The sequence below is a fragment of the Homo sapiens genome, chromosome 7 (assembly GCF_000001405.40).
Source record: "Homo sapiens chromosome 7, GRCh38.p14 Primary Assembly".
Lineage (NCBI taxonomy): Eukaryota > Metazoa > Chordata > Mammalia > Primates > Hominidae > Homo > Homo sapiens.
The window spans coordinates 65959594-65985124 of NC_000007.14; the positions used below are offsets into that span (position 1 = coordinate 65959594).

Below are 25531 nucleotides of genomic sequence, written 5' to 3' on the forward strand. Positions count from 1 at the left end.
GCTAAAAAGGAGGGTCTGTGTGGAGACACGGGGCTCAACCACAAGAGAGGGGAAAATCAAGTTCTATAGCAAGAACCATATTGGAGGCCGGGCACAGTGGCTCACGCCTATAATCCCAGCACCTGGGGAGGCTGAGGCGAGCAGATCACCTGAGGTCAAGAGTTCGAAACCAGCCTGGCCAACATGGTGAAACCCCATCTCTACTAAAAATATTTTTAAAAATTTAGCTGGGAATGGTGGCAGATGCCTGTAGTTCCACCTACTTGGGAGGATGAGGCAGGAGAATTGCTTGAACCCCAGAGGTGGAGGTTGCAGTGAGCCAAGATTGCGCCACTGCACTCCAGCCTGGGCGACGGAGCAAGACTGTCTCAAAACAAACAAAACAAACTGTATTGGTTCATTGTCTTTCAACTGACTGGACACCAAAAGGAGTATTTTTCCAAAGCGTATACTTCAAATCAGAATTGATGCACCATCCTTGCCTTACTGGAGCCCAGGAAGAGAGGGAGGACAGATTCCTTAAGGAAAGACTGTGCTCTGGGAGGGGGCAGGTAGCGTCATTTTGGGGTGTAAAGGCATGGAATGCTGATTTGTAGGCAAAGTTGTTTAAGGAGGTCCTGTCACATTCAGTGGCATCCGTTATGATAAAGCCAATAGGCTTTTACACTCATCTGTCCATTTCTGTCAAGACCCTATGGCTGAGGTCAAAACAATGTTCTGGGAGAACCAGTTACCTCTAACCTTCCAATTCAGACACTGCCAGCTTAACTATGTAGAAACTGGCACACAGACCCTGTTAAGTGCTGCAACAATGACAGCGTTTCTATGAATTTGTTGGTACATGTGGGACTTTAGCTCATCTGAGGAGTCGAACAGCAGCTGTGAAAGTCTTCTACTCACTCCCTGTCGAGGCTGGCCTGGTTTGCTACACAAACACGGTGGCCCTAGGACCATGGGGCTATTCCTGCAGACGCCCTCGGGAACCAGCTGCTCTGAACGTGGTGGGGGTGTTGGAGCAGCAGTTTCTCAAAAGTCCACACACAGTTAAAGCTCTGAAAACAGCACGACGCACAGAAATGATTTCAGATGCTTTTCAGTAGCCACTTTCATGCCAACTCTTTATTTCCATAATAGAAAATCTTTTATTTCCACCTTTAGTGTTCCCTGCTAGAATAGATGACCACAAAACCCAGGCCAGAAACGTTCTGGTCTGCCGTGAACAGTCCAGGAGGCACTTGTTCTGCTGCTGTGGAAGTCGCCCTGACTCGGGGAGGAAGGGACACGCAGGTGGTATCAGTCTTGCTCAAGTAAACAGGCTGTTTTCCAAACATTGTGACTTGGCTACTGAGTGGGGATACCTGGTTTCATTGGCAATCTTCCAGTATCTCTCTCGCAAAAGGAACGCTGCACTTTTTGGTTGTCTCTGCCGAGTGAAGATCCCCTTTTTATTCCCCAGCACTCTCGTCGGTGCTACAAAAAAAAAAAAAAGACACAAAGCGATTCAGATGTCTTCTGATGGGTCAAGTTAGAACCAGTCTGGAGCTAAGGTAGGCACTAAATAGAAATGTCTTTTTTTTTCTTTTTTCTCCCTGTTGCCCAGGCTGGAATGCGGTGACACAATCATAGCTCACTGCAGCCTCAACCTCCTGGGCTCAGGCAATCCTCCTGCCTCAGCCTCTCCAGCACCACCATGCCCGGTAATCTTTTATTTTTATTTTTTAGTAAAGACAAGGTCTCATTATGTTGTCCAGGCTGGTCTCAAACTACTGGGCTCAAGCAATCTGCCCTCCTTAGCCTCCCTAAAGTGCTGGGATTATAAGCACAAGCCACCATGCTCAGCCAAATGTCCTCTTACAGTTTCAGGATGCTTGCTCTGAAGTGACAATTTATGGGTTGAAATATTTAAATACCACTGCTCTGCCCAAACACCCAGGTTCCCTGGTGTGTTAATTTCTAGTTTTCTAGTCTGTTAGGGGAAAAAAACCCAAAACAGTGGCCAGGTGTGGTGGCCAACGCCTGTAATCCCAGTGCTTTGGGAGGCTGAGGCAGGTGGATCACCTGAGGTCAGGAGTTCAAGATCAGCCTGGCCAACATGAGGAAACCCGCCTCTATTAAAAATACAAAAACTGGCTGGGCACATTGGCTCATGCCTGTAATCCCAGCACTCTGGGAGGACAAAGCAGGCGGATCACAAGGTCAGGAGATTAAGACCAGCCTGGACAATATGGTGAAACCTCATCTCTACTAAAAATACAAAAATTATACAGGCATGGTGGTGGGTGCCTGTGGTCCCAGCTACTCAGGAGGCTGGGGCAGGAGAATCGCTTGAACCCAGGACGCAGAGGTTGCAGTGAGCTGAGATTGTGCCACTGCACTCCAGCCTGGGCGACAGAGTGAGACTCCATCTCCAAAAAAAAAAAAAGCACTAAAAGTTTATCTTTTATTTGCAAACTAAGGTTTACATGCTGGGTACCCAGCTGTCTGGTAACTGGGTAGGCAGAGGGCTAGGGGTATCTGGGACAGTTACCCTTGAAAAGCCTTGGGCCTTTCTGAAGAGATAGCGCCTAGTGGGAGCCAGGGTCCTGACCAGCCACAGGTCCCTGCGTGGGACCTACTCATGGAGTTCAAAGTCCGCCGGGGCTGACGTCCAGCTTGGCAGCACCCACCACTGGTGGTCATTAGGCCTGAGCTGAGCCTGGTGGAGGAGCACAGCTGGCAACGACCTGTCAGGGCTGTGCTCTCAGGACATTCTCTGTCCCCAGTAAGACCACCACTAAATGGAAATGTTAAATGGAAAGGGGGCTTTCCCCACCAAAAGGTTCAAGACTGTTTCTTCCATAAGTGAACACAGGCATCGCCAAGTACTTCATCAAATGCAGCCCTTACGACACCAACAAGGAGGTGGCATTATCCCCACTGGACAGGCTTATGAAAAGCTTAGGTGACTTGCCCAACGTGATGCAGCTCATTTCTTTTTTCTTTTTAAGACCGAGTTTCAGCTGGCCATGGTGGCTCATGCCTGTAATCCCAGCACTTTGGGAGGCCCAGATGTGCGGATCACCTGAGGTCGGTAGTTCAAGCCCAGCCTGACCAACATGGAGAAACCCCGTCTCTACTAAAAATACAAAATTAGCCGGGTGTGGTGGCGCATGCCTGCAATCCCAGTTAATCGGGAGGCTGAGGCAGGAGAATTGCTTGAACCTGGGAGGTGGAGGTTGCAGTAGGCTGAGATAGCGCCACTGCACTCCAGCCTGGGAAACGAGCAAAACTCCGTCTCAAAAAAAAAAAAGAGTCTCACTCTATTGCTCAAGCTGGAGTACAGTGCTGTGATCTTAGCTCATTGCAACCTCCATCTCCCAGGTTCAACAGATTCTCATGCCTCAGTCTCCCAAGTGGCTGGCATTACAGGCATGCGCTACCACACCCGGCTAATTTTGTATTTTTAGTAGAGATGGGGTTTCTCCATGTTGGCCATGCTGGTCTCAAACTCCTGACCTCAGGTGATCTGTCCACCTTGGCCTCCCAAAGTGCTGGGATCACAGGCTTGAGCCACTGCGCCCAGCCTGCAGCTCATTTCTTACCGCATAAAGCCTCGCACCTCTCCACAAAACTGCCATCAGGGATGTCCCCAGAAACCATTTATCACAGGTGCCACGCAGAGGACAGCTTCCTGTTCTCCTTTTCCCTTTACCTCTTCCTTCTCACCTCATCTTGTTCATTCATTCATCCGTATTCCATTCTCACTCTTACGCTTTACCTTTCAAAGGCCTGTCTTTCCCTGTAAGTAATGTATTATAATTCCCACCATTACCACATGCTTCTCCAACCCACCAAACTGCTATCTTCAGTTTATGGTAAGTCCATAAACTAAGAAGAAATGGGACACATTCATTGCGAACTTGGCAGCCCCTCATCCATCCTCACAAGACACCGCAGATGTTATTCTCTTTGAAGACCAATCTTGTGTTTTAAAGACAAGTCTCACTCTGTTGTCCAGGCTCTTGTGCAGTGGTGCAATCATAGTTCACTGCAGCCTCCAACTCCTGTGCTCAGGTTATCCGCCTGCCTCAGCCTCCCAAGCAGCTGAGACTACAGGCACACACCACCACGCCTAGCTAATCTGTTTATTTTTTGTAGAGATGGGGTCTTGCTATGCTGAACAGGCTGGTCTTGAACTCCTGGCCTCAAGCGATCCTCCCACCCTGACCTCCCAAAGTGCTGGGATTACAGGCGTGAGCCACTACACCTGGCCTGAAGACTTGTAAATGCTGCCAAATTCAAGATGCGTTGAAACTCACCTGTATTTGATAAGCCTGCTTTTCGCAAGTAATATACAACAGACTGAAATACCTTAAGTTTCTCAGGCTTTGTACCCTTCTATGGAATAATGAGTGTATCCCAAAAGTAAATCCATGATGAGGTCCCGTTTTTCGTTCCTCCTTGGCTACAAAATAGACAAGGAAAAGGCAAGCCAGCCATTTCCGATTCACTATAGCTGACTCTCCTGTTTGCTTTTTGACCGTATTTGGGAGGCGGGGGCCTGATTGCTTTCCTACTTCCTAAACACAACTTACTTTTCCTAGAAAATTCTCAACGCAACCTACATGGATTAAACCAGCTTCCCCAACTTTGTTTCCAATATTCTTACAATTGAAATGGCCAGAATTGGAAAGGCAACCTGAAAAAATGAGGACGGGTACGTTATCCCATGAGCCAAACTGCCACTTACACTGTTCAGTCATGAAATCGGCAAAATTCCAAATGAGCTCTCCAACCACGTATTTTCTGCGTTTTTGATCCAGACCCAGATGGTACTGCTCTAGCAGACTTTTCTGGTACTCTTCAGTGAACATCAGAGGTGGATCCTAGGATTCAAGGCAAAGAGAATGTAAGAGTCAGAACTGGCAGAATTGTAAATGTTAGATAAAAATAAAGATCCACTTGATGGTGACCAAAATATCTGTCTTCACAGGGGGCTATAGTGACTGCAGGACTCACTGATGCTGGGGTAAAGACAGCCAGGGAATGATGTAACCCAGAATAAAAAAGGAGGTTTAAAAAAAAAAACAACCTTAATGAGCAGCTGCTTTATTTATAAACGTAATTTGACATTCGTTTCACATTACTTTTCCACCTCTATCTGCTGGTACAGTCTTAAGGCTAAACTACACTACAGGCAAAAATATGTCTTTCAGTCAGGTGCAGTGGCTCATGTCTGTCATCCCAGCAATTTGGGAGGCTGAGGTGGGAGGACTGCTTGAGCCCAGGTGTTCAAGACCAGCCTGGGCAACATAGCAAGACCCCATCTCTACAAAAAGTACAAAAATTAGCCAAGCCTAGTGGCACACATCTGTGGTCCCAGCTACTTGGGAGGCTGAGGTTGGAGGACTGCTTGAGCCCCAGAGATCAAAGCGACAGTGAGCTGTGTTCACACCACTGCACTCCAGTTTGGGTGACACAGTGAGACCCTGTCTCTAATAAATATATATATATATATAAAAATTAAATTAAATTAAACTCAACCAAACCAGGCTGGGCATGGTACCTCAGGTCTGTAATGCCAGCACTTTTGGAGGTCGAGACAGGAGGATCACTTCAGCCCAGGATTTCAAGACTAGTCTAGGCAACACAGTGAGACCCAGTCTCTACAAAAAGTCAAAATATTAGCCAGGTGTGGTGGCGCACGCCTGCAGTTCAAGCTACTTGGGGCTAAGGAGGGAGGATCGCTTGAGCCCAGGAGGTTGAGCAGTGAGCTGTGATTATGCCACTGCACTCCAGCCTGGGCAACAGAGTGAGGCTGTCTCAAAAAAATTTATTTAATTAAACTAAATCAATTCAGTTATCCTAGTCATATATCAAGACCTCAGTAGCCATGTGTAGCTAGTGTGTACCATTTCAGACAGTGCAAATATAGAACATTTCCATCATTGCAAGTTTGTTTTTTTTTATTTTTTGAAACAAGGTCTCACTCTGTCACCCAGGTGGGAGTACAGTGGTGCAATCATAGCTGAATGCAGCCTTGACCTACTGGGCTCAAACAATCCTCCCACCTCAGCCTCCCAAGTGGCTTGGACTACAAGCACTCATAACCATGCCCAACTAATTTTAAATTTTTTGTAGAGATGGGGTCTATGTTGCACAGACTGGTCTCAAACTCCTGGGCTCAAGAGATCCTCTGACCTTGGCCTCCCAAAGTGCCAGCATTCCAGGTGTGAGCCACCATGCCCAGCACTGCAGAGGTTCTATCAGCACTGACCTAGACCCTCTCAAGAGTTTCTTAAGAATTCAGAGCTAGGGCTTGGCACGGTGGCTCATGCCTGTAATCCCAGCACTTTGGGAGGCCAAGGCGGGCGGATCACTTGAGGTCAGGAGTTCAAGACCAGCCTGACCAACATGGTGAAACCTCATCTCTACTAAAAATACAAAATGAGGTGGGCGTGGTGGCGCATGCCTGTAATCCCAGCTACTCGGGAGGCTGAGGCATGAGAATCGCTTGAACCAGGGAGGTGGACATTGCAGTGAGCCGAGATCGCGCCACTGCACTCCAGCCTAGGCAACGAGAGCGAAACTCTGTGTCAAAAAAAAAAAAAGAATTCAGAGCTGGTTACCTTTTCAAAGAGGATGCGCAAGCAAATATATCCAAGAGCCACTTCCCCTACTTGACTAGTTTGCAGAAGTGGCATTCTGTAAGCACGATAAATTTAAGGGTGCAAACAGAACAGCGCAGTCCACTGTGGGTGGCTGTTCCCTGTGTGTCAACCAGGAGCTGTGACAAACAAGTGTGAGCTGGCTGGGGTGGGAATGAGGGGCTGGATGGGGTTCAGGAATCCACAGGAAAAAAAAAACCTCACAAGACAAACCAACATATCTTTGGTGAGGAGGACAAAAAAATGAGATAGATTAAAAAAATGACGACAGGCTGGGCATGGTGTCTCATGCCTGGATTCCCAGCACTTTGGGAGTCTGAGGCAGGACAATCACGTAAGGCCAGGAGTTCTAGACCAGCCTGATAGACTCCATCTTTACAAAAAAATTTAAAAATAGGCTGCACATGGTGGTTCATGCCTGTCGTCCCAGCTACTCAGGAGGCTGAGGTGGAAGAATTACTTCAGCCCTTTAGTTCAAGGCTGCAGTGAGCTATGATGACACCACTGCACTCCAGCCTGGGCAACACAACAAGACCCTGAAAAAAAGAAAAAGAAAAAAAGGCTAGCACAGTGGATCATGCCTGTAATTCCAGCACTTTTGGAGGCCAAGGCAGGAAGATCAATTGAGTCCAGGAGTTTGAGACCAGCCTGGACAACATAGCAAGACCCTATATCTAAAATATGAAAATTAAGAAAAAGGATATTTTAGTTGGTGATTATGGTGCCAACATGGGCATTCCAGGCAGAAGAAACAGCTCAAGCAAGAGCAGGAGAGCAAGCGAGGGCAGTGGAAACAGATCAGTGGCTGGGATAGAGGGGAGAAGGGGATGAAAACCCAGGAGAGAGCAGAGGACACTGAGTGTCCTGACCAGAGGTTAGGGCTTTGTCCTGTGGGCCTGGGGGAGCCAATGACAGGACTCCCAAAATTTTCAACTGTGGCTGGTGCAGAGGCTCACACCTGTAATCCCAGCACTTTGGGAGCCTGAGGCAGATCACTTGAGGCCAGGAGTTCAAGACCAGTCTGGGCAACATGGCAAGACCCCATCTCTACAAAAGTAAAAAAATTAGCCAGGCGTGTTGGCATGTGCCTATGGTCCCAGCTACTCAGGAGGCTGAGGTGGGAGGATCACTTGAGCCCAGGAGGTTAAGGCTGCAGTGAGCAGTGATCGCACCACCACACTCCAGCCTGGGTGACAGAGAGATCCGGTCTCAAAAACAAATACAAATTTGGATCTGTTAGAAAGACCACTTGGGCACGGGTGATAGGAGGCTATCTGGAAACAAAGCCAGTAAGGAGGCCACCTCTGAGGACCAAGTGAGTGGGGCACAGGCCTGGCTGTTGGCGGTGAGGGAACGTGGACGGGGCCGTGGGAGGAGAGCCCAAAGCTGAAGCGAGGGGAGCAGTGCAGTGGGCGCAGGTCAGGCTGGAGGAGGTGAGTGACATCTCTGCCCTGAGAGAACACACAAGCAGAAAGCTCAACACTGCTTACCTGGTGAAACCCTGCAATCGTTTCTGCTCCATACTCGCTCTGAATAATGGGCTTCTGATACTTCTTATACCAGTTCTCAAACTGGGTGGCCAGCTGCAGCTGAATCAACTCCAGGTGCCCGTAGTCGTGATACCAAGAGTAGTAGCTGTTCAAACAGATCACATCCACATACGGAGCCTAGGACCAGAGCAGCAGAGCCCGTTCAGCACTCAGTAGACAGCATGACTCAGCATTCACACACTGCGGGGGCTCCTCTGGCAGAGAAGGTAAGGGGGATGTAATCCCAGCACTCTGGGAGGCTGAGGCAGGAGGATGGCTTAAGACCAGCCTGGGCAACACAGCAAGACTGCAGCATTACAAAAAATAGTAGTAAGAAAATTAGCAGGGCACGGTGGCTCATGCCTGTAATCCCAGCACATTGGGAGGCCAAGATGGGAGGATCACTTGATCCCAGGAGTTCGAGACCAGCCTGGGCAACATCACAAGCCCCCATTTCTACCAAAAAAAAAAAAAAAAAAAAACCTAGAACGGGAACAGCTGCCTCCTGGGGCTGAGAACGTCCAAGTGTACCAATTTAGATCCTGAAATTACCCTGCCATAGGCAAGAAACATGGTCACAAAGTGGCCCAGAGGAGGTAGGCCTGGGACTCCACACTGACACTCATGACGTGCGCCGCTGGGAAGGGCTGTGAGAGGCACAGCAGCTGCCAACGCACAGCCCTCAGCCAAAGCCCAGGGCCCCCACCACTGGAACTGACTCCTCTCCAGGCAGCACTCCCATCACTGGGCTTCCCCTCACCTTGCCCTGGAGAAGCGCTGCCACCCGAGGGGCCGATGCAGTCATTCTCACAGAAAATCTTTTGTTTTGTTTTGGAGACAGAGTCTCGCTCTGTCGCCCAGGCTAGAATGTTAGTGGTGCGATCTCAGCTCACTGCAACCTCTGCCTCCCACCATCAGGTGCTTCTCATGCCTCAGTCTCCCGAGTAGCTAGGATTACAGGCGTGCGCCACCACGCCCAGCTAATTTTTTGTATTTTTGGTAGAAATGAAGTTTCACCAGTTGGCTGGGCTGGTCTTGAACTCCTGATCTCAAGTAATCTGCCTGCCTCGGCCTCCCAAAGTGCTGGGATGATAGGTGTAAGCCACCATGCCCGGCTGTCACAGAGGATCTTGAGGGAGCTTTCACAAGGCAGCACTGTGGACTGCAGAGGGCCAGAAAAGTCACTCCAAGGAGCAGGGCGGTGACGACCGAGTAGGACCACCCCAAGCTTCAGCATAGCGGTGCTTACAGCTGAGCAGCAGGGGCTTCTGTGTCCAACTGGCTAGTTTCTAATGCGTCCTGAACACATTTCTTTCTAGTAAAAATGCTGGCCGGGTGTGGTGGCTCACGCCTGTAATCCCAGCACGTTGGGAGGCCAAAGTGGGCAGATCACCTGAGATCAGCAGTTTGAGACCAGCCTGGCTAACATGGCAAAACCCCATCTCTACTAAAAAATACAAAAATTAGCTGGGTGTGGTGGCATGCACCTGTAATCCCAGCTACTCAGGAGGCCGAGGCAGAATTGCTTGAACCTGGGAGGACGAGGTTGCAGCGAGCTGAGATTGCACCATTTCACTCAAGCCTGGGCAACAGAGCAAGATTCCATCTCAAAATAAATAAATAAATAAATAAAGAATGCTAATGTCAGCCAGGCACTGCAACTCATGCCTGTAATCACAGCACTTTGGGAGGCCAAGGCAGGAGATCACTTGAGCTCAAGACTTTGAGACCAGCCTGGGCAACATAGAGAGATGCCACCTCTACAAAAAGATATAAAATTAGCTAGGCGCAGTGGTGAAAACCTGGAGTCCCAGCTACTCGGGAGGCTGAGGCAGGAGGATCACTTGGGCTCAGGAATTCAAGGCTGCAGTGAGCTGTGATTGCACCACTGCACTCCAGCCAGGGCAAGAGAGTAAGACCTTGCCTCTACAAAAGAAAAAGAAAAACTCAAGTTCCAACCCTGGACGTACTAAATCAGGACCTCAGAATGCAGAGATCTGGCATTTCATAAAAACTTCCCCTAGAGATTCTCATCAGCCAGGTGTGGGCCAGATGAACTCTAAGCTCCCTTAAATCTTTGATGTTTTATGAGTCTATTAAATCGAAGTGCAAAAAATGCTGAGTCCAAACTGAGCAAACAAATCCCATCTCCCTATGCCCAGCCTCCTTGGATTGAGAAAGCCACACTGCCTGGCGAGTAAGCAGGGGGAGAATTCTCATTAACCCAAAGACCATCTGTGAAAACAGACTGGCTGCGGCCGGGGTGTGGTGGCCCACACCTGTAACCCCAGCCCTTTGGGAGGCCAAGGCAGGAGGATTGCTTGAGCCCAGGAGTTGGAGACCAGCCTGGGCAACATGGCAAGACCCTGTCTCTATCTTTTTAAGTAAAAAAGAAAATGAAATAAAACCCAGACTGGCAGCGCATGGTTCTTCCTGGCTGTTCCCATGACCAGGCTTCAGGACAAGCCCAGGCAAAGGCAGGGAGAAGTGGGGTGGGGACCCCCAGGCTCACCCCCTTGTCTGCTGCATAGTTAGAGTTGCTCACAAAGGTCACAGGCCGGGAGGGGTCCAAGGATTTGGTGTGAGCGATCACCATCCTGTCCACAAAAGGCAGAAGAAACAGGTTCCATCAGTCCAGGAATGGCTCAGACACCCTCCCATCCTCTCTGTCCCATCTTCCACCGCCAGAACACAACACGGGGCCAGGCACGATGGTTCACACCTGTAATCCCAGCACTTTGGGAGGCCGAGGTGGGTGGATCACTTGAGGTCAGGAGTTCAAGATCAGCCTGGCCAACATGGTGAAACCCCAACTCTATCTACTACAAATACAAAAATTAGCGGCCAGGCGCAGTGGCTCACGCCTGTAATCCCAGCACTTTGGGAGGCCGAGGCGGGCAGATCACAAGGTCAGGAGATCGATACCATCCTAACACGGTGAAACCCCGTCTCTACTAAAAATACAAAAAATTAGCCGGGCGTGGTGGCCGGCGCCTATAGTCTGAGCTACTCAGGAGGCTGAGGCAGAAGAATGGCGTGAACCCAGAAGGAGGAGTCTGCAGTGGGCCAAGATCATGCCACTGCACTCCAGCCTGGTCCACAGAGCAAGACCCTGTCTCAAAACAAACAAACAAAAACAAAGGGGAAAAAAAAAAAAGCATGGAGCCGCTGCTTTCTTCCCTAACTTGAGATGTATTTTACATAAGGGCATATGATCCTCTAGTCCTAGACCGAGCTCTCTAACATCACTCCTTCTACCCCCATCTCCGAATCCTATACCCCCAGAGGAGCAGCCACTCTTCCAGGTACACAGAGCTGAGGTCACTAGGCTGGACACTGGCAAAAATGAGGTTGACGCCCTGAAACAGCTCTTGAACACAGGAGGTGGATGGATGCAGATTTGGGAGGGATATTTATTAATGCATCAAGCAAACGGAGTGCAGGCTGGGAGGCAGGCATGGGGCTAGGTGCGAGGTGCTCAGCAGTGACTCAAATCTAAGTCCACAGGTCCTGGGCAGTGGGAGTGGAGACGCATGCAGAGAAATGGTGCAAGTGCCGGGCAAGGCGGCTCACGCCTAGAATCCCAGCACTTTGGGAGTTTTACCAGAGACCAGGAGTTCAAGACCAGCCTGGGCAACATAGCAAGACCTTGTTTCTACAACAAATTTAAAAATTAGGGGCGGGCATGGTGGCTCACGCCTGTAATCCCAACACTTTGGGAGGCCGAGGCGGGTGGATCATGAGGTCAAGAGTTTGAGACCAGCCTGGTCAACATGGTAAAAGTCTATCTCTACAAAAAAATACAAAAAAAACCTAGCTGGGCATGGTGGCATGCGCCTGGAATCCCAGCTACTCATGAGGCTGAGGCAGAAGAATTGCCTGAACCCAGGAGGTAGAGGTTGTAGTGAGCCAAAATTGCACCAGTGCTCTCCAGCCTGGGCAACAAGCAAGACTCCATCTTGCGGAAAAAAAAAAAAAAATTTAAACTTAGCCTGACATGGCCGCACACACCTGTGGCCCCAGCTATTTGGGAGGCTGAGGCAGGCAGATAACCTGAGGTTGGGAGTTCGAGACCAGCCTGACCAACACGGAGAAACCCCATATCTACTAAAAATACAAATTAGCTGGGCGTGGTGGCGCATGCCTGTAATCCCAGCTACTCGGGAGGCTGAGGCGGGAGAATCACTTGAACCCAGGAGGCAGAGGTTGTGGTGAGCCGAGATTGTGCCATTGCACTCCAGCCTGGGCAACAAGTGCAAAACTCCATCTCAAAAAATAAATAAATAAATAAGAAGAAATGGCCCTTAGAAGGGAAGAAAAACCCAACAGAGGGACCCGTCTGTGCTCAGAGCTCCTGGCACCTGCCCGAGGCCTCCACAGTACAGACTGTTTTTGTTTTTGTTTTTTTGAGAGACAGAATCTCACTCTGTAGCCCAGGCTGGAGTGCAATGACATGATCTTGGCTCACTGCAACCTCCACCTCCTGGGCTCAAGCAATTCTCCTGCCTCAGCCTCCCAAGTAGCTGGGATTACAGACGCCCACCTCTGTGTTCCGCTAATTGTTTTATTTTTAGTAGAGACAGGGTTTCAATATCTGTTGGCCACGCCGGTCTCAAACTCCTGACCTCAGGTGATCCACCCACCTTGGCCTCCCAAAGTGCTGGGATTACAGGCGTGAGCCACCGCACCCAGCCTAGACTGTTGTTGAAGCCTGTTTTCCTCTTCTCTTTCCTCAGTTCATTTCTTCTTTTACGCCCTCCCCCATCATTGCTCTGCCTATCCGAAGGCTGTGGCTGGCACAGATCAGAAAAGAACCCCCTAGCCTCAAGTTCCAAACCCACACTCTCCAACAGCCAGGCTCTCAGATGGGAAACTTCAAAGCCTGTGACAGCCTGGCTGAACCTCTCCAGCCTGGGTGGCTCCCTCCAAATCCTGCCCCAGAAAACAGGCATCTCCTCTGGCCACCTCCCAAAGAAGCCTCAAACACCTGCTCCTGGAAGCCTGTACTCTTCCCCTTCGCAACAAAGGGCCTGTCCACCCAGTCCTGCTGAGCACACCCCTGTGCCCCCAAGCTCTGAATTGTCCTTGGCCCAGGCTGCAACAACTTCTCAGAGCCTTCTGCCTGCTGCAGACTTGGCTCAGCCCAAAGCACTGCATGAAATTGGGGTGTGCTGTATGAGTCAAGAGGCATTTCTACCACCTCTCCTGCTTCTACCCCAAGTGAAAAATCCAACTCTGAACGCTGAGTTAGAACTGCACGATTGTAAGGAAGAAAAGGGGGCCAGGTGTGGTGGTTCACACCTGTAATCCCAGCACTTTGGGAAGGTGAGGCAGGAGGATCACTAGAGGCCAGGAGTTCCACGCCAGCCTGGCAAACATGGTGAAACCCAGTCTCTAATTAGCCGGGCACGGTGGCTCACGCCTGTAATCCCAGCACTCTGGGAGGCCGAGGTAAGTGGATCTCCTGAGGTCAGTAGTCCAAGACCAGCCTGGCCCAACATAGTGAAACCCCGTCTCTACTGAAAAATGCAAAAGTTGGCCAGGCGTGGTAGCTCACGCCTGTAATCCGAGCACTTCAGGAGGCCGAGGCAGGCGGATCATGAGTTCAAGAGATCGAGACCATCCTAGCCAAAATGGTGAAACCCCGTCTCTGCTAAAAATACAAAAATTAGCAGGGTATGTTGGCGTGTGCCTGTAATCCCAACTCCTCAGGAGGCTGAGGCAGGAGAATCACTTGAACCTGGAAGGTGAAGGTTGCAGTGAGACGAGATTGCGCCACTGCACTCCAGCCTGGCCACGGAGTGAGACTCCATCTCATAAAAAGGAAAAAAGGAAAACTTAGCTGGGCGTGGTGGCATGTGCCTGTAATCCCAGCTACTCGGGAGGCTGAGGCTGGAGAATCACTTGAACCTGAGCGGCAGAGGTTGCAGTGAGCTGAGATCATGCCCCTGCACTCCATCCTGGGCAATAGAGGGAGACTGCATATCCAAAAAATAAAAAATAAAGCAAAAATTAGCTGGGCGTGATGACACACATCTAGAATCCCAGCTACTTGGGAGGCTGAGACAGGAGGATCACCTGAGCCTGGGAAGTCAAGGCTGCAGTAAGCCAAAACTGCACCGCTGCACTCCAACCTGGGCAACCAGAGTGAGAACCCATTTTGAAAAAAAAAAACAGCCCCAGCACAGTGGTTCATGGGTGCCTGTAATCCTAGCTACTCAGGAGACTGAGGCAGGAGAATCACTTGAACCCAGGAGGCAGAGGTTGTAATGAGCGGAGATCACCCCACTGCACTCCAGCCTGGGCCATATAGTGAGACTCCATCTCAAAAAGAAAAAAAAAGAACAAAAAAGAAAACCACAATTTGGGTGGGTAGATATTTGGTCCCCTGAACTATCTGGGTATGGACGGCCTTCCCATTGGGCTGGACACGAGGCCGATCTTGAACAGCACATGCCCACCGAGGCCAGCCACCTGCCAGGGTCTCCTTCCCACTCTAGCCGAGGGCAGGGAGGGAGCACTCACTTCAAGTAGTAGCCAGCAGATTCTAGGTGGGACGCAGGCTCGTTGGCCACAGACCACATCACGACCGCGGGGTGGTTCTTGTCCCTACGCACCACTTCTTCCATCACCTGCATGTGGTGATGCAGAGAAACGTTGTTGAAGAACTGCCTGCGGGCCAGGAGGGAAGGGACAGAGGGTCACGGTGACGCCCCCGGGCTGGGCAGGCGGAGCAGGTGCACAGCAGAGACTCACGGCAGCGCCAGGCCCACGCCGGGACACTCATCGATGACCACAATCCCATAGCGGTCACACATCTGCATCACTTCCTCTGCATAGGGGTAGTGGCTGGTACGGAAAGCGTTGGCACCAAGCCAGCGAAGCAGGTTGAAGTCCTTCACCAGCAGCGGCCAGTCGAAGCCCTTCCCTCGGATCTAGGAGATAGCAGAGCCAAGTGACCCCTGTCCCTGTCGAAGCTGCACTTCCTCTGAGAGCCAGGACCCTGGAGAGCCACCCCATGAGCCCCCTCTCCATTTGGAGCCATTTGCCTCATTGCCCTGAGCTGCCCTCAACTGCAGGACACAGGGAAGGCGAAAGTGGAGGGTGACCAGAAGCAGCCCCGACAAGGACCCAGGAGCCCCAACACACGTCCGCATCCTCATGCTTGTTGACACCGTGGAAATAGAAAGGTTTCCCATTGATGAGGAACTGGCTCTTGGTGACAGCCACAGTGCGGATCCCCACAGGGAGTGTGTAGAAGTCAGACACAGGCCCCAGTGACGTCTGTGCAGTCAGCTGCACCTATGACAGCCAAAGCACCAGGTGTGAGCACCCCGACAGCCTGAGCCCCATCCGGCCTGCCCTCCAGCAGGAAGGCCCCTCGTGCACCCCAGCAGCTGCCTCTGGGCCTGTAAGCAGAGATGCAGCAATCAGAGGTTCTGCCCTACCCTGGCTGACCCTGGGAACCTGCCCTTCAAAACATGGCCTTCCCTTTGACAAGACAAGGTGGCTCATGCCTGGAGTTCCCACACTTTGGGAGGCTAAGGCAGGAGGATCACTTGAGTCCAGGAGTTGAAGACCAGCCTGCTGACAGACTGAGACCCCATCTCTATAAAAAAAAAATGTTTTTCTTCTGAGACAGTCTCAGTCTGTCCCCCAGGCTGGAGTGCAGTGGTGTGATCTCAGCTCACTGCAGCCTCTGCCTCCTGAGTTCAAGCAATTCTCCTGCCTCAGCCTCCCGAGTGGCTGGAATTACAGGTGTTCGCCACCATGCCCAGCAAATTTTCATATTTTTAGTAGAGATGGGGTTTCACCATGTTGGCCAGGCTGGTCTTGAACTCTTGGCCTCAAGTGATCCACCCACCTCAGCCTCCCAAAATGCTGAGATTACAGGCATGAGTCACTCTGCCCAGGCTACAAAATTTTTTTTATTTAGCCAGACATGGTGGCATGTGCCTGTAGTCCCAGCTACTCAGGAGGCCAAGGCAGGAGGACTGCTGCAGGCTGAGAGTTCAAGGCTGCAGTGAGCTGTGATCAGGCCATTGCACTCCAGCCTGGGTGACAGAGTGAGACCATCTCAAAAAAAAAAAAAAAAAAGAAAATGGGCCTCCCACCAAGGGTGAGAAACATCAGAAAGCTCAGAGGACCATGCCTGCCCATCCACCTGTCTTGGGCTCCTGCTGAAGCCAGGGTCACCACATGGGGGCAAAAGACCTCCCTTAGGCATGTCCCAAACCACCATTACCTCCAATGAATACAGATAGGCAGGGCGTTCGTGCATCAGGTACGGCCACCAGAGGCTGACACCTGGCACCTTAAGTTGGCCCTGGGTCCCAGTCCCATTCGCCACGACTTTGTTTTCTGCATCCAAAAGACGCACTTCCAACTTGAACAGGTTACTGCCCTTGACAGAGATCTGGTAATTCACCAGCCCTGCAAGAAACAAGAGAGACCAGGGCTGAGGGAGGGACACGACCTGAGTCACACAAACAGGAGCGCCCTGCAGCCACCGCTGCCAGGCAGCCATTTGTTTCTGTTGCTTTTTTTAAATTTAATTTCTTATTTTTTTTTTTTGAGACGGAGTCTCACTCTGTCCCCCAGGCTGGAGTGCAGTGGCATGATCTCGGCTCACTGCAACCTCCACCTCTGGGGTTCAGGTGATTCTCCTGTCTCAGCCTCCCAAGTACCTGGGATTATAGACGTGCACCACCATGCTTGGCGAATTTTTATATTTTTAGTAGAGATGGGTTTTGTCATATTGGCCAGGCTGGTCTTGAACCCCTGACCTCAGGTGATCCACCCGCCTTGGCCTCCCAAAGTGCTGGGATTACAGGTGTGAGCCACCGCACCCGGTGCTTTTTTTAATTTAAAAAAAGATTTTGGCCAGGTGCAGTGGTCACACCTGTAATCCCAACACTTGAGGAGGCTGGGGTGGGAGGATCGCTTGAGACCAGGAGTTCAAGACCAGCCTGGGTAACATAGGGAAACCACTTCTTCCCTAAAAATACAAACAATCAGCCGGTCGTGGTGGTGCGTGCTTGCAGCCCCGGCAGCCCCAGCTACTTGGGAGGCTGAAGTGGGAGGATTGCTTGAGCCAGGAGTTCGGGGCTGCAGTGAGCTATGATCTTGAGGCAGGATAGGTAGTCAAGGAAGTGACCGTGTCCCTCAGACATGCCAACCACGGCACTGAGACACGTGACGTGTGAACAAGCATGTACAGCTACTACGCATGTGCAACCAGAGGACGGCCCAGAACGTGCTTACAGTAACACCTCTTCCCAGCTCCTTAGGAATTCATCACGGAAGACTCCCAGAAAGGGAGTTTCCCCAGTAATAATCGGTGCTGTCTCATCCTTACGAGCAGCCTGTCCTGAATTCTGTGTCTCAGGGTGAACTGTGCATTTTGCACTTCACTATTTTTTTTGAGATGGGGGTGTCACTCTGTCACCTAGGCTGGAGTGCAGTGTTGCAATCTCAGCTGACTGCAACCTCCACCTCCCGGGTTCAAACAATTCTCCCATCTCAACCTCCTGAGTAGCCGGGATTGCAGGCTCACACCACAATGTCCAGCTAATGTTGGCTAAGCTGGTTTGAACTTCTGAGCTCAAGTGATCCACCCATCTCGGCCTCCAAAAGTGCTGGGATTACAGGCATGAGCCAGTGCACCCAGGCTGTTCTAAACTTAACTTCCAAAATACCTTTCCTTGGCAATAAATTGCTCTATGGTGCATTGTCTTTGCTGTGGGATTCTTTTTTAAATTCTTTTTTATTCATTTATTTTATTTTATTTATTTATTTTTTTCTTAGATAGGGTCTCAGTATGTTGCCCAGGCTGGTCTCAAACTTTGCAGCTAAAGCGATCCATCCACCTTGGACTCCCAAAGTGCTGGGATGACAGGCATTAGCCACCACACCCAGCCTAAATTCTTTTAAACTTAGAACCGCGGCCCCACAACGGCTGTCAATAATCTCACCACTGCACTCCAGCCTGGGCCACAGTGCAAGCCTCATCTCAGAAAAAGAAAAAGATATATATATATTTTTTTATTTTTATTTTTTGACATGGAGTCTCGCTCTGTCCCCTAGGCTGGAGTGCAGTGATGCAATCTCAGCTCACTGCAAGCTCTGCCTCCCAGGTTCACGCCATTCTCCTGCCTCAGCCTCCCGAGTCGCTGGGACTACAGGCCCCTGCCACCATGCCCGGCTAATTTTTTGCATTTTTAGTAGAGACGGAGTTTCACCATGTTAGTCAGGATGGTCGCGATCTCCTGACCTCGTGATCCCCCCACCTTGGCCTCCCAAAGTGCTGGGATTACAGGCATGAGCCACCGCGCCCGCCCTGAAAAAGATATATTTTTAAAAAGAAAAAAAACTTAAAACAAAAATTTTTCTTAAATACAGACCGAGCGCTGTGGCTCATTCCTGTAATCCCAGCATTTTGGGAGACTGAGGCGGGTGGATCCCGAAGTCAGGAGTTGAACCAGCCTGGCCAACATGGTGAAACCCCATCTCTACTAAAAATACAAAAATTAGCTGGACGTGGTGGCACACGCCTGTAATCCCAGCTGCTCAGGAGGCTGAGGCAAGAGAATTGTTTGAACCCGGGAGGCGGAGGTTGCAGTGAGCCAAGAACACGCCACAGCACTCCAGCCTGGACAACAGAGCAAGACTCCATCTCAAAAACAAAAAACAAAAACAAAAAAAACAGGGTATCCCAGCTGGGCACAGTGGCTCACGCCTGTAACCCTTGCATTTTGGCAGGCCGAGGAGGGTGGATCACCTGAGGTTAGGAGTTCAAGACCAGTCAGGCCAATAGAGTGAAACCCTGTCTCTACTAAAAAAAAATAGAAAAATTAGCCGGGCGTGGTGGCGGGTGCCTATAATCCCAGTTACTCGGGAGGCTGAGGCAGGAGAATCGCTTGAACCCGGGAGGCAGAGGTTGCAGTGAGCCAAGATCACGCCATCGCACTCCAGCCTGGCGACAGAGCGAGACTCCAGCTCAAAAAAAAAAAAGAAGAAAAAAAGAAAGACAGGGTCTGCGTCTGTTGCCCAGACCAGAGTGCAGTGGTGTGGTCATAGCTCACTGCACCCTTGACATCCCAGGCTCAAGTGATTCTCCTGCCTCAGCAGCTGGGACTACCGGCACACATCACCATCCCTGGCTAATTTTTTAATTTTTTGTGGTGATGGCCTCACTATGTTGCCCAGGCTGCTCTTGAACTACTGGCCTCAAGTGATCCTTATACCAGGGCCTCCTTGCAAAGTGCTGGATGACAGGCATAAGCCACCATGCCCGGCGCCCCCCCCACCGAAGCTGCCTGTTCCTTGAGCACGATGTGTAGCAAGGGGAGATGGAGTGAGAGTAGCACCATAGAGAAGGGACAGGATTGCCACCCCGAGCTGTGTGACGTTAGGCCAGACCCCTCTTCTCCTAGCGAGGTCAACCACACGGGTGATTTTGGGAGCCCGTATCCGCTCACACAGGCTGAATTTTAGCTTCATAGGTGGAAGGGAATCTGTGAGGGTGTAGAGATGCTGGGAGCACCTTTTTCCTGGGAGAGCTTTCCAAACAGGGAACAAACAGAGCCACCCTGGGCCCCGCTGAGAGGATCCTACCAGAAGCCCTCACCACTGTCTTGCTCCACGCTGGTGGTGACGGTGATGTCATCGATGTAGGTGGTGGGTGTCGTGTACAGAAGTACAGACCGCTGCAGTCCAGCGTAGTTGAAAAAGTCAAAATATGTGTTCTGGACAAAGTAACCCTTGGGATACCTAGGATGGGAGGACTGTGGTTTGCTGGGCCCTTGCTCTGGGTCCCCTGACCTCAGCTCACAGGCCTCCCTGGCCTCCCCAGATCCAAGGCCTCCACTCTGTGAAGGCCACCCAGTCCCTACCAGGAAGACCACAGGGTGGGGCGGGAAGGTGGGTGTGTGCAATGGAGGCAGGATGGTACCCACTTGGAGGTGTCAGTCAGGTATTGGATGGTCCCTGGTGGCAGGGTGGTGGGGGTGAGTGTGTTGTTGATGGCGATAGTGATTCGGAGCCGGGAGGGCAGGGGCCCCACCTGGACCAGGTTGCTGATGTCGGCCTCGAAGGGGAGGTAGCCCCCCTCATGCTCTAGCGTGTCGACCCCATTCACCCACTGCAGACACAGGAGATACGGGGAGGGGGCTGCAGGTCAGGGCATGAGGAGGCGCCCTACTATCGGGCACTCCCTCACATAACCTGCAGCATGGGGCTCCGGGGCCTTCCAGCCAGACGGGAAGAATGACATCCCAATGGGGTAGATCAGGCTACCTATCCCCCTATACAGGGCACAGCCCCCAGGGCAGGGCAGGGCAGGACCCCCCACCATCCCACCCCAGCATACATGCCGTGGGTGGCAGCTGGAGGTCCCATGCTGTTCAGCAGCCGTGCCCCCCCACCCGCCCTGCCTGCTCCTGGCCGCACTGACCACGATGGCATAGGAATGGGCACTGCCAATCCTCAGCACCACTCTTGTGCGCAGGTCCTGGGTCCATCGCTCCGGCAGGATCACCTCCCGTTCGTACCACACCCAGCCGACAAAATGCCGCAGACGCCAGTCCTGGCTGATGTCATTGAAGCTGGAGGGAACTGGCATGTCCACGGTGGGGCCTGACTGTGGAGAGAAGAGCCGGGCTCAGCTCCTAGGCCCCCAAAAGGGTCCAGGACCAGTGTGCTGCACGGCTGTGCCCCCAGGCCTAGCACAAGCCCTGACACATAGCGGGGATTCTTGGCAGAAAGGACAGATAACTTGCTGATGACAGGTCAACTGCCAGGGCGATCTGTGCACCTGGGCCAGTGGGGCCAGGAGTTCCTCCTCAGAGTGGATGGGGCACAATATCTCCTGAGACAGGAGCAAGCCCAGGGCCACATCCCAGCCAGAGGCAAGAAGGTTCAGACCTGTGACTAAGAGGCAGATGGCCACTGCCTGTCACAGGGAGGAAGGCTGGTTGGAGGAATGGGGGGAGCTTTGCTTAGGACACTGTGAGTGGGGTGCACACTGGCACCCAGCCCCCTCCTCTTTCCCTCCTGTACTGAATGCTGCAAAGTCAGAATAAGAGGATGTAGACCAGGCAAAAGCCGCCCAGACCTCACCCAGTTCCACTTCTCTGCAGATCACATCCAAGTCAGGAGGGGAACAGGGGTGGCGTCCTGGGCCTGATGTCATGTCCTGTCCTCTATGTGAACCTTGAAAACCAAGGGACTTCCTGCCTCGGCAGAGCTGACCTCAGGACATCTAAACTGTCACCTTCTCCCGATCCCCGGGCCCAGCTCTGTGCAGTGCATGCCGCTGTGGCCAGAGTGTGTGGGTGGCTCATGCCAGTAATCAGCGCTTTGGGAGGTCAACGTGGGAGGATGGCTTGAGGCCAGGAGTTCGAGACCACCCTGGGTAAATAGTGACACCCTGTATCTTTTTTTTTTTTTTAAGTTTTTTTGCCTTTTTTTTTTTTTTGGAGACGTAGTCTCACTATGTCGCCCAAGTTGGAGTGCAGTGGCATCCTGATCTCAGCTCACTGCAACCTCTACTCCCGGGTTCAAGCAATTCTCCTGACTCAGCCTCCCAAGTAGCTGGGATTACAGGCATGAACCACCACACTTGGCTAATTTTTATATTTTTAGTAGAGATGAGGTTTCACCCTGTTATGTTGGCCAGCCTGGTCTCAAACTCCTGGCCTCAGGCGATTCGCCCGCCTCCACCTCCCAAAGTGCTGGGATTACAGGTGTGAGCCACCGAGCCCAGATAATTTTTTTTTTTTCAATTAGCCAGGCGTGTTGGCACCCCCTAAATTGCAAGGCTGGGGCGGGAGAATCGCTTGAGCTCAGAAGTTAGGCTGGCGCCACTCCGCCCCAGCCTGGGAAACAGGTGCAAACCCAGTCTCAAAAAAATTTTTAAAAATTAAAAATAAATATTGAAAGGAAGGATACTGCACAGACTCAGCCTTTACCTCGGGAAAGGGCTCGGCAAGAGCCTTTTCTCCTCCTGCCTAATCCGCCCCGGCCCTCCAGGGTGCTCCTGTTCCCCCGTCCCCCAAGCCGGCGCCCCCAAGCCCGTTGACCTTTAACCTCCTGCGGGCCCCAGCTCGGAGACGCCCAGGGGAAGAAGTCTGCGGGGGGCCCGGGCTCCCCTACTCCCACCGCCGGGCTTTCGGGCGCCTCCCGGCCCTGCCCCGAGATCGCACCTCCCACAGCGGCCGCCGGTACCACTGCTCCTCGAAGCCCCGGCGTCGGTTGTCAGAGAAGTCGGCGCGGAAGCTCCAGAGGCCGTCCAGCTCCTTGCACTCCCGCGACGGGCTCTCCTGGGGGTACAGCATCCCGCCCTGCAGCCCCAGCGCGCAGCCCCACAACAACGGCCCGAGCGCCGCCCAGGCAACCGCCGACCCCCGGGCCATGCTTCCCGGTCCCCCGCTCGGCCACCGTCTGCGGCGCTAAGAAAAGCGCGGGAGGTGCCCGTAGGGCGGGTCGCGTGACGCGCCGGTGTCGTGATGCGCCTGAAGCCATCCGCGCCATCTTGGTTGAGGACGAGTGCCAGGCCTGGAGGGGCGGGGCCGGGCGCTGCCCGGTAGGGCTTGTGGCTGGAACCCCAGGCTAGGCCTTTGGGGAAACGGGACCCTCACCCTCAGCCCCAGCCGATAAGGGCGAGGTCTGCTCCCCACCCCGACCCAGGCTGGACGATCCAGGGCCGCAGGCCAGAACAGAACCCCTGAGATCGGTGGGATCCCCCTGTTTCTTCAAGGAGCACCTCCACTTGCTTTTCCCAGCAGGAATTCAAGGAGGCCCCAGCGGCGCCTCTTCCATGCCTGTCTGATGCAGCCTCTTGCAGGGATGCACGTCCTTGGGATGCGGCCATAGCCTTGACCCTGGGCTTCTGGAGCCCTGACCTTAACCCAGGGGCCAAGAGCTCCCTCTTGGTGTTGCAGGCACATAAAGATGCAGGGAGAGAGGCCAGGTGCACTTTGGGAACCCGAGGGGGGCAGATCACTTGAGGCCAGGAGTTCGAGACCAGCCTGGCCAACGATAGTGAAACCCCGTCCCTATTTTGTAAACATACAAAAAAAAAAAAAAGAATTAGCGGGGCGTGATGGTGCGTGCCTGTAATCCCAGCTACTCAGGAAGCTGAGGTAGGAGAATCGCTTGAACCCGGGAGGCAAAGGCTGCAGTAAGCCGAGATCGCACCACTGCACTCCAGCCTGGGCAACAGAGCGAGACTCTGTCTCAAAAAAAAAAAAAAAATTGCAGGGAAAGGGTGCCCTGCGGGACCCCAGTTTACTCCAGTAGGGAAGGCACCGTGTGGGAGAGGTAGAGGAGGAGATCTGGAGACAGCAAAGGAGACATAGATTTATGGAGGGGACTTTCATACAGGGACGGTGCAGTGGCCATTGCTGGACATGAGAACCACTACCATTTGTAAAAAGCATGCAGCTTACATAACATTTTCAACTAGCATCCTCGACCTGTTACTGGTGGAGTTCCGGGTGGTGAATCCCTACACATCAGCAACAACCTCAATTCTTGCCTCCTCAGAAGAAAGAATTGCACTGAGGGGCATAAGGCAGAAAGCCAGAGGGAGGTAAGCTGCAGAGCAGTAGTAAAAGCTTGTTAAAAAGCAGGCCAGTGCTGAGCGTAGTGGCTCACACCTGTAATCCCAGCACTTTGGGAGGCGGAGGTGGGGGGATCACGAGGTCAGGGGTTTGAGACCAGCCTGGCCAATATGATGAAACCCCATCTCTACTAAAAAATTAGCTGGGCATGGTGGCATGCGCCCGTAGTCCCAGCTACTCGGGAGGCTGAGGCAGGAGAATCGATTGAACGCGGGAGGCAGAGGTTGCAGTCAGCCGAGATCGCACCACAGCACTACAGCCTGGCGAGAGAGCAAGACTCAGTCTAAAAAAAAAAGCAGGCCAGGCACAGAGGTTCAGGCCTGTAACTCCAAACTCCAGCACTTTGGGAGGCCAAGGCGGGAGGATCACTTGATATCAGGAGTTTGAGACCAACCTGGCCAACGTGGAGAAACCCCATCTCTACTAAAAATACAAAAATTAGCCAGGCGTGGTGGCAGGCACCTGTAATCCCTACTATTTGGGAGGCTGAGGCAGGAGAAATGCTTTAACCCAGGAGGCAGAGGTTGCAGTGAGCTGAGATCACGCCACCGCACTCCAGCCTGGGCTACAGAGTGAGATGCCATTTCAGGAAAAAAAAAAATATTAAAAAACTTTAGAACAGGAAGGAAAGAAGGAAAGTACAACTTGGAAGAGGGCCAAGTGGGTGATCTAAGAAACCAAGTGCCTTGGCCAGGTGCGGTGGCTCACGCCTGTCATCCCAGCACTTTGGGAGGCTGAAGCAGGCAGATCACCTGAGGTTGGGAGTTCGAGACCAGCCTGACCAATATGGAGAAACCGCATCTCCATATTTAGCTGGGCATGGTGGCACATGTCTGTAATCCCAGCTACTCGGGAAGGCTGAGGTGAGAGAATCGCCTGAACCAGAGATTGCAGTGAGCCGAGATCACGCCATTGTACTCCAGCCTGGGCAACAAGAGTGAAACTCCTACAAAAAAAAAGAAAAAGGAAAACAAGTGCCCAGCTTGACCTCTTGACTCAGGGTTTCATAGATTGGCATCCTTCCAGGATCTTGCCACTCCTGATTCCTTAGCTGGGGCTCTGAACATACATTCTTAGACCATAAAGTCATTCGCAGGGTGCACAACAGTTACGGATGTCAGGTGCCTCTGCCATACAGAGGGAGCCCTCATGTCCTAGGAAGCTGGCCTGGACACAATTGTTTGTATGATTACTCCCCCACCCCCTTTTTTCATGCTCACCAAATCCACCTTCTGAAAATGGACCTCAATACTGGAAATGGAGTCCCCAGCATAGTGAAAATAAGTACATTCTGGGAACTGACAAGGCCTAAAGGCTCTCTCCCAAATGTTTACATTGTTTTTTTATTTTCATATTTTCTTTTTTTAAATTTTACTTTTATATTTCATTAGTGAAATCTTGACATGCTTAAATTAGAATACAGTTCACTGTTTATGAGGCAGCTTTAGGCCAAATTTAACAAAAGTAAGAAAAAGTAGGATGCAGACGTTTATACAGTATGTAAAAATCAGTAATTCAGGCCAGGGGCAGTGGCTCACGCCTATAATCCCAGCACTTTGGGAGGCTGAGGCGGGCAGATCACCTGAGGTCAGGAGTTCAAGACCAGTCTGGCCAACAAGGTAAAACACCATCTCTACTAAAAATACAAAATTTAGCCAGGCATGGTGGCAGGTGCCTGTAATCCCAGCTACTAGAGAAGTTGAAGCAGGAGAATCACTTGAACCCGGGAGGT

The 25531-nt window shown here is 51.8% G+C and overlaps 1 protein-coding gene across 12 annotated transcripts, besides 7 other annotated features; it reads right to left on the reverse strand.

Moving 5' to 3' along the window:
* Positions 1091-22620, reverse strand: GUSB (glucuronidase beta). Of its 12 annotated transcripts, NM_000181.4 has the most exons (12): positions 22381-22620; positions 20631-20816; positions 20134-20318; positions 19806-19948; positions 16422-16609; positions 15326-15478; positions 14933-15111; positions 14702-14848; positions 10689-10773; positions 8138-8314; positions 4730-4865; positions 1091-1470 (listed from the first exon to the last, which is right to left on the reverse strand). In NM_000181.4, the coding sequence occupies exons 1-12, from the start codon at positions 22588-22590 to the stop codon at positions 1304-1306; spliced, it is 1956 nt and encodes a 651-aa protein (NP_000172.2). In that variant the 5' UTR covers positions 22591-22620; the 3' UTR covers positions 1091-1303. The 12 variants fall into 12 exon arrangements, 11 of the variants coding, with proteins under 11 accessions (NP_000172.2, NP_001280033.1, XP_005250354.1 ...); NR_120531.2 differs by lacking the exon at positions 10689-10773; NM_001293104.2 differs by lacking the exon at positions 20134-20318.
* Positions 7610-8809: an enhancer, noted in NCBI's record as "MED14-independent group 3 enhancer chr7:65432190-65433389 (GRCh37/hg19 assembly coordinates)". NCBI's record gives its function as "activates an origin of replication core promoter dependent on BRD2, BRD4, P300/CBP and CDK7 cofactors, and independent of MED14, by STARR-seq in HCT116 cells {active_cell/tissue: HCT116}" and the evidence as "EXISTENCE:reporter gene assay evidence [ECO:0000049][PMID:35650434]".
* Positions 7610-9347: a biological region, named in NCBI's record as "MED14-independent group 3 enhancer GRCh37_chr7:65432190-65433389".
* Positions 8555-9347: an enhancer, noted in NCBI's record as "H3K27ac-H3K4me1 hESC enhancer chr7:65433135-65433927 (GRCh37/hg19 assembly coordinates)". NCBI's record gives its function as "activates a minimal SCP1, AML or CMV promoter by ChIP-STARR-seq in primed H9 embryonic stem cells {active_cell/tissue: H9 hESC(primed)}" and the evidence as "EXISTENCE:reporter gene assay evidence [ECO:0000049][PMID:30033119]".
* Positions 10281-10782: an enhancer, noted in NCBI's record as "H3K27ac hESC enhancer chr7:65434861-65435362 (GRCh37/hg19 assembly coordinates)". NCBI's record gives its function as "activates a minimal SCP1, AML or CMV promoter by ChIP-STARR-seq in primed H9 embryonic stem cells {active_cell/tissue: H9 hESC(primed)}" and the evidence as "EXISTENCE:reporter gene assay evidence [ECO:0000049][PMID:30033119]".
* Positions 14398-15108: an enhancer, noted in NCBI's record as "H3K4me1 hESC enhancer chr7:65438978-65439688 (GRCh37/hg19 assembly coordinates)". NCBI's record gives its function as "activates a minimal SCP1, AML or CMV promoter by ChIP-STARR-seq in naive H9 embryonic stem cells {active_cell/tissue: H9 hESC(naive)}" and the evidence as "EXISTENCE:reporter gene assay evidence [ECO:0000049][PMID:30033119]".
* Positions 20449-21209: an enhancer, noted in NCBI's record as "H3K4me1 hESC enhancer chr7:65445029-65445789 (GRCh37/hg19 assembly coordinates)". NCBI's record gives its function as "activates a minimal SCP1, AML or CMV promoter by ChIP-STARR-seq in naive H9 embryonic stem cells {active_cell/tissue: H9 hESC(naive)}" and the evidence as "EXISTENCE:reporter gene assay evidence [ECO:0000049][PMID:30033119]".
* Positions 22666-22795: an enhancer, noted in NCBI's record as "active region_26076". NCBI's record gives its function as "activates an Ori minimal core promoter by ATAC-STARR-seq in GM12878 lymphoblastoid cells {active_cell/tissue: GM12878}" and the evidence as "EXISTENCE:reporter gene assay evidence [ECO:0000049][PMID:35858748]".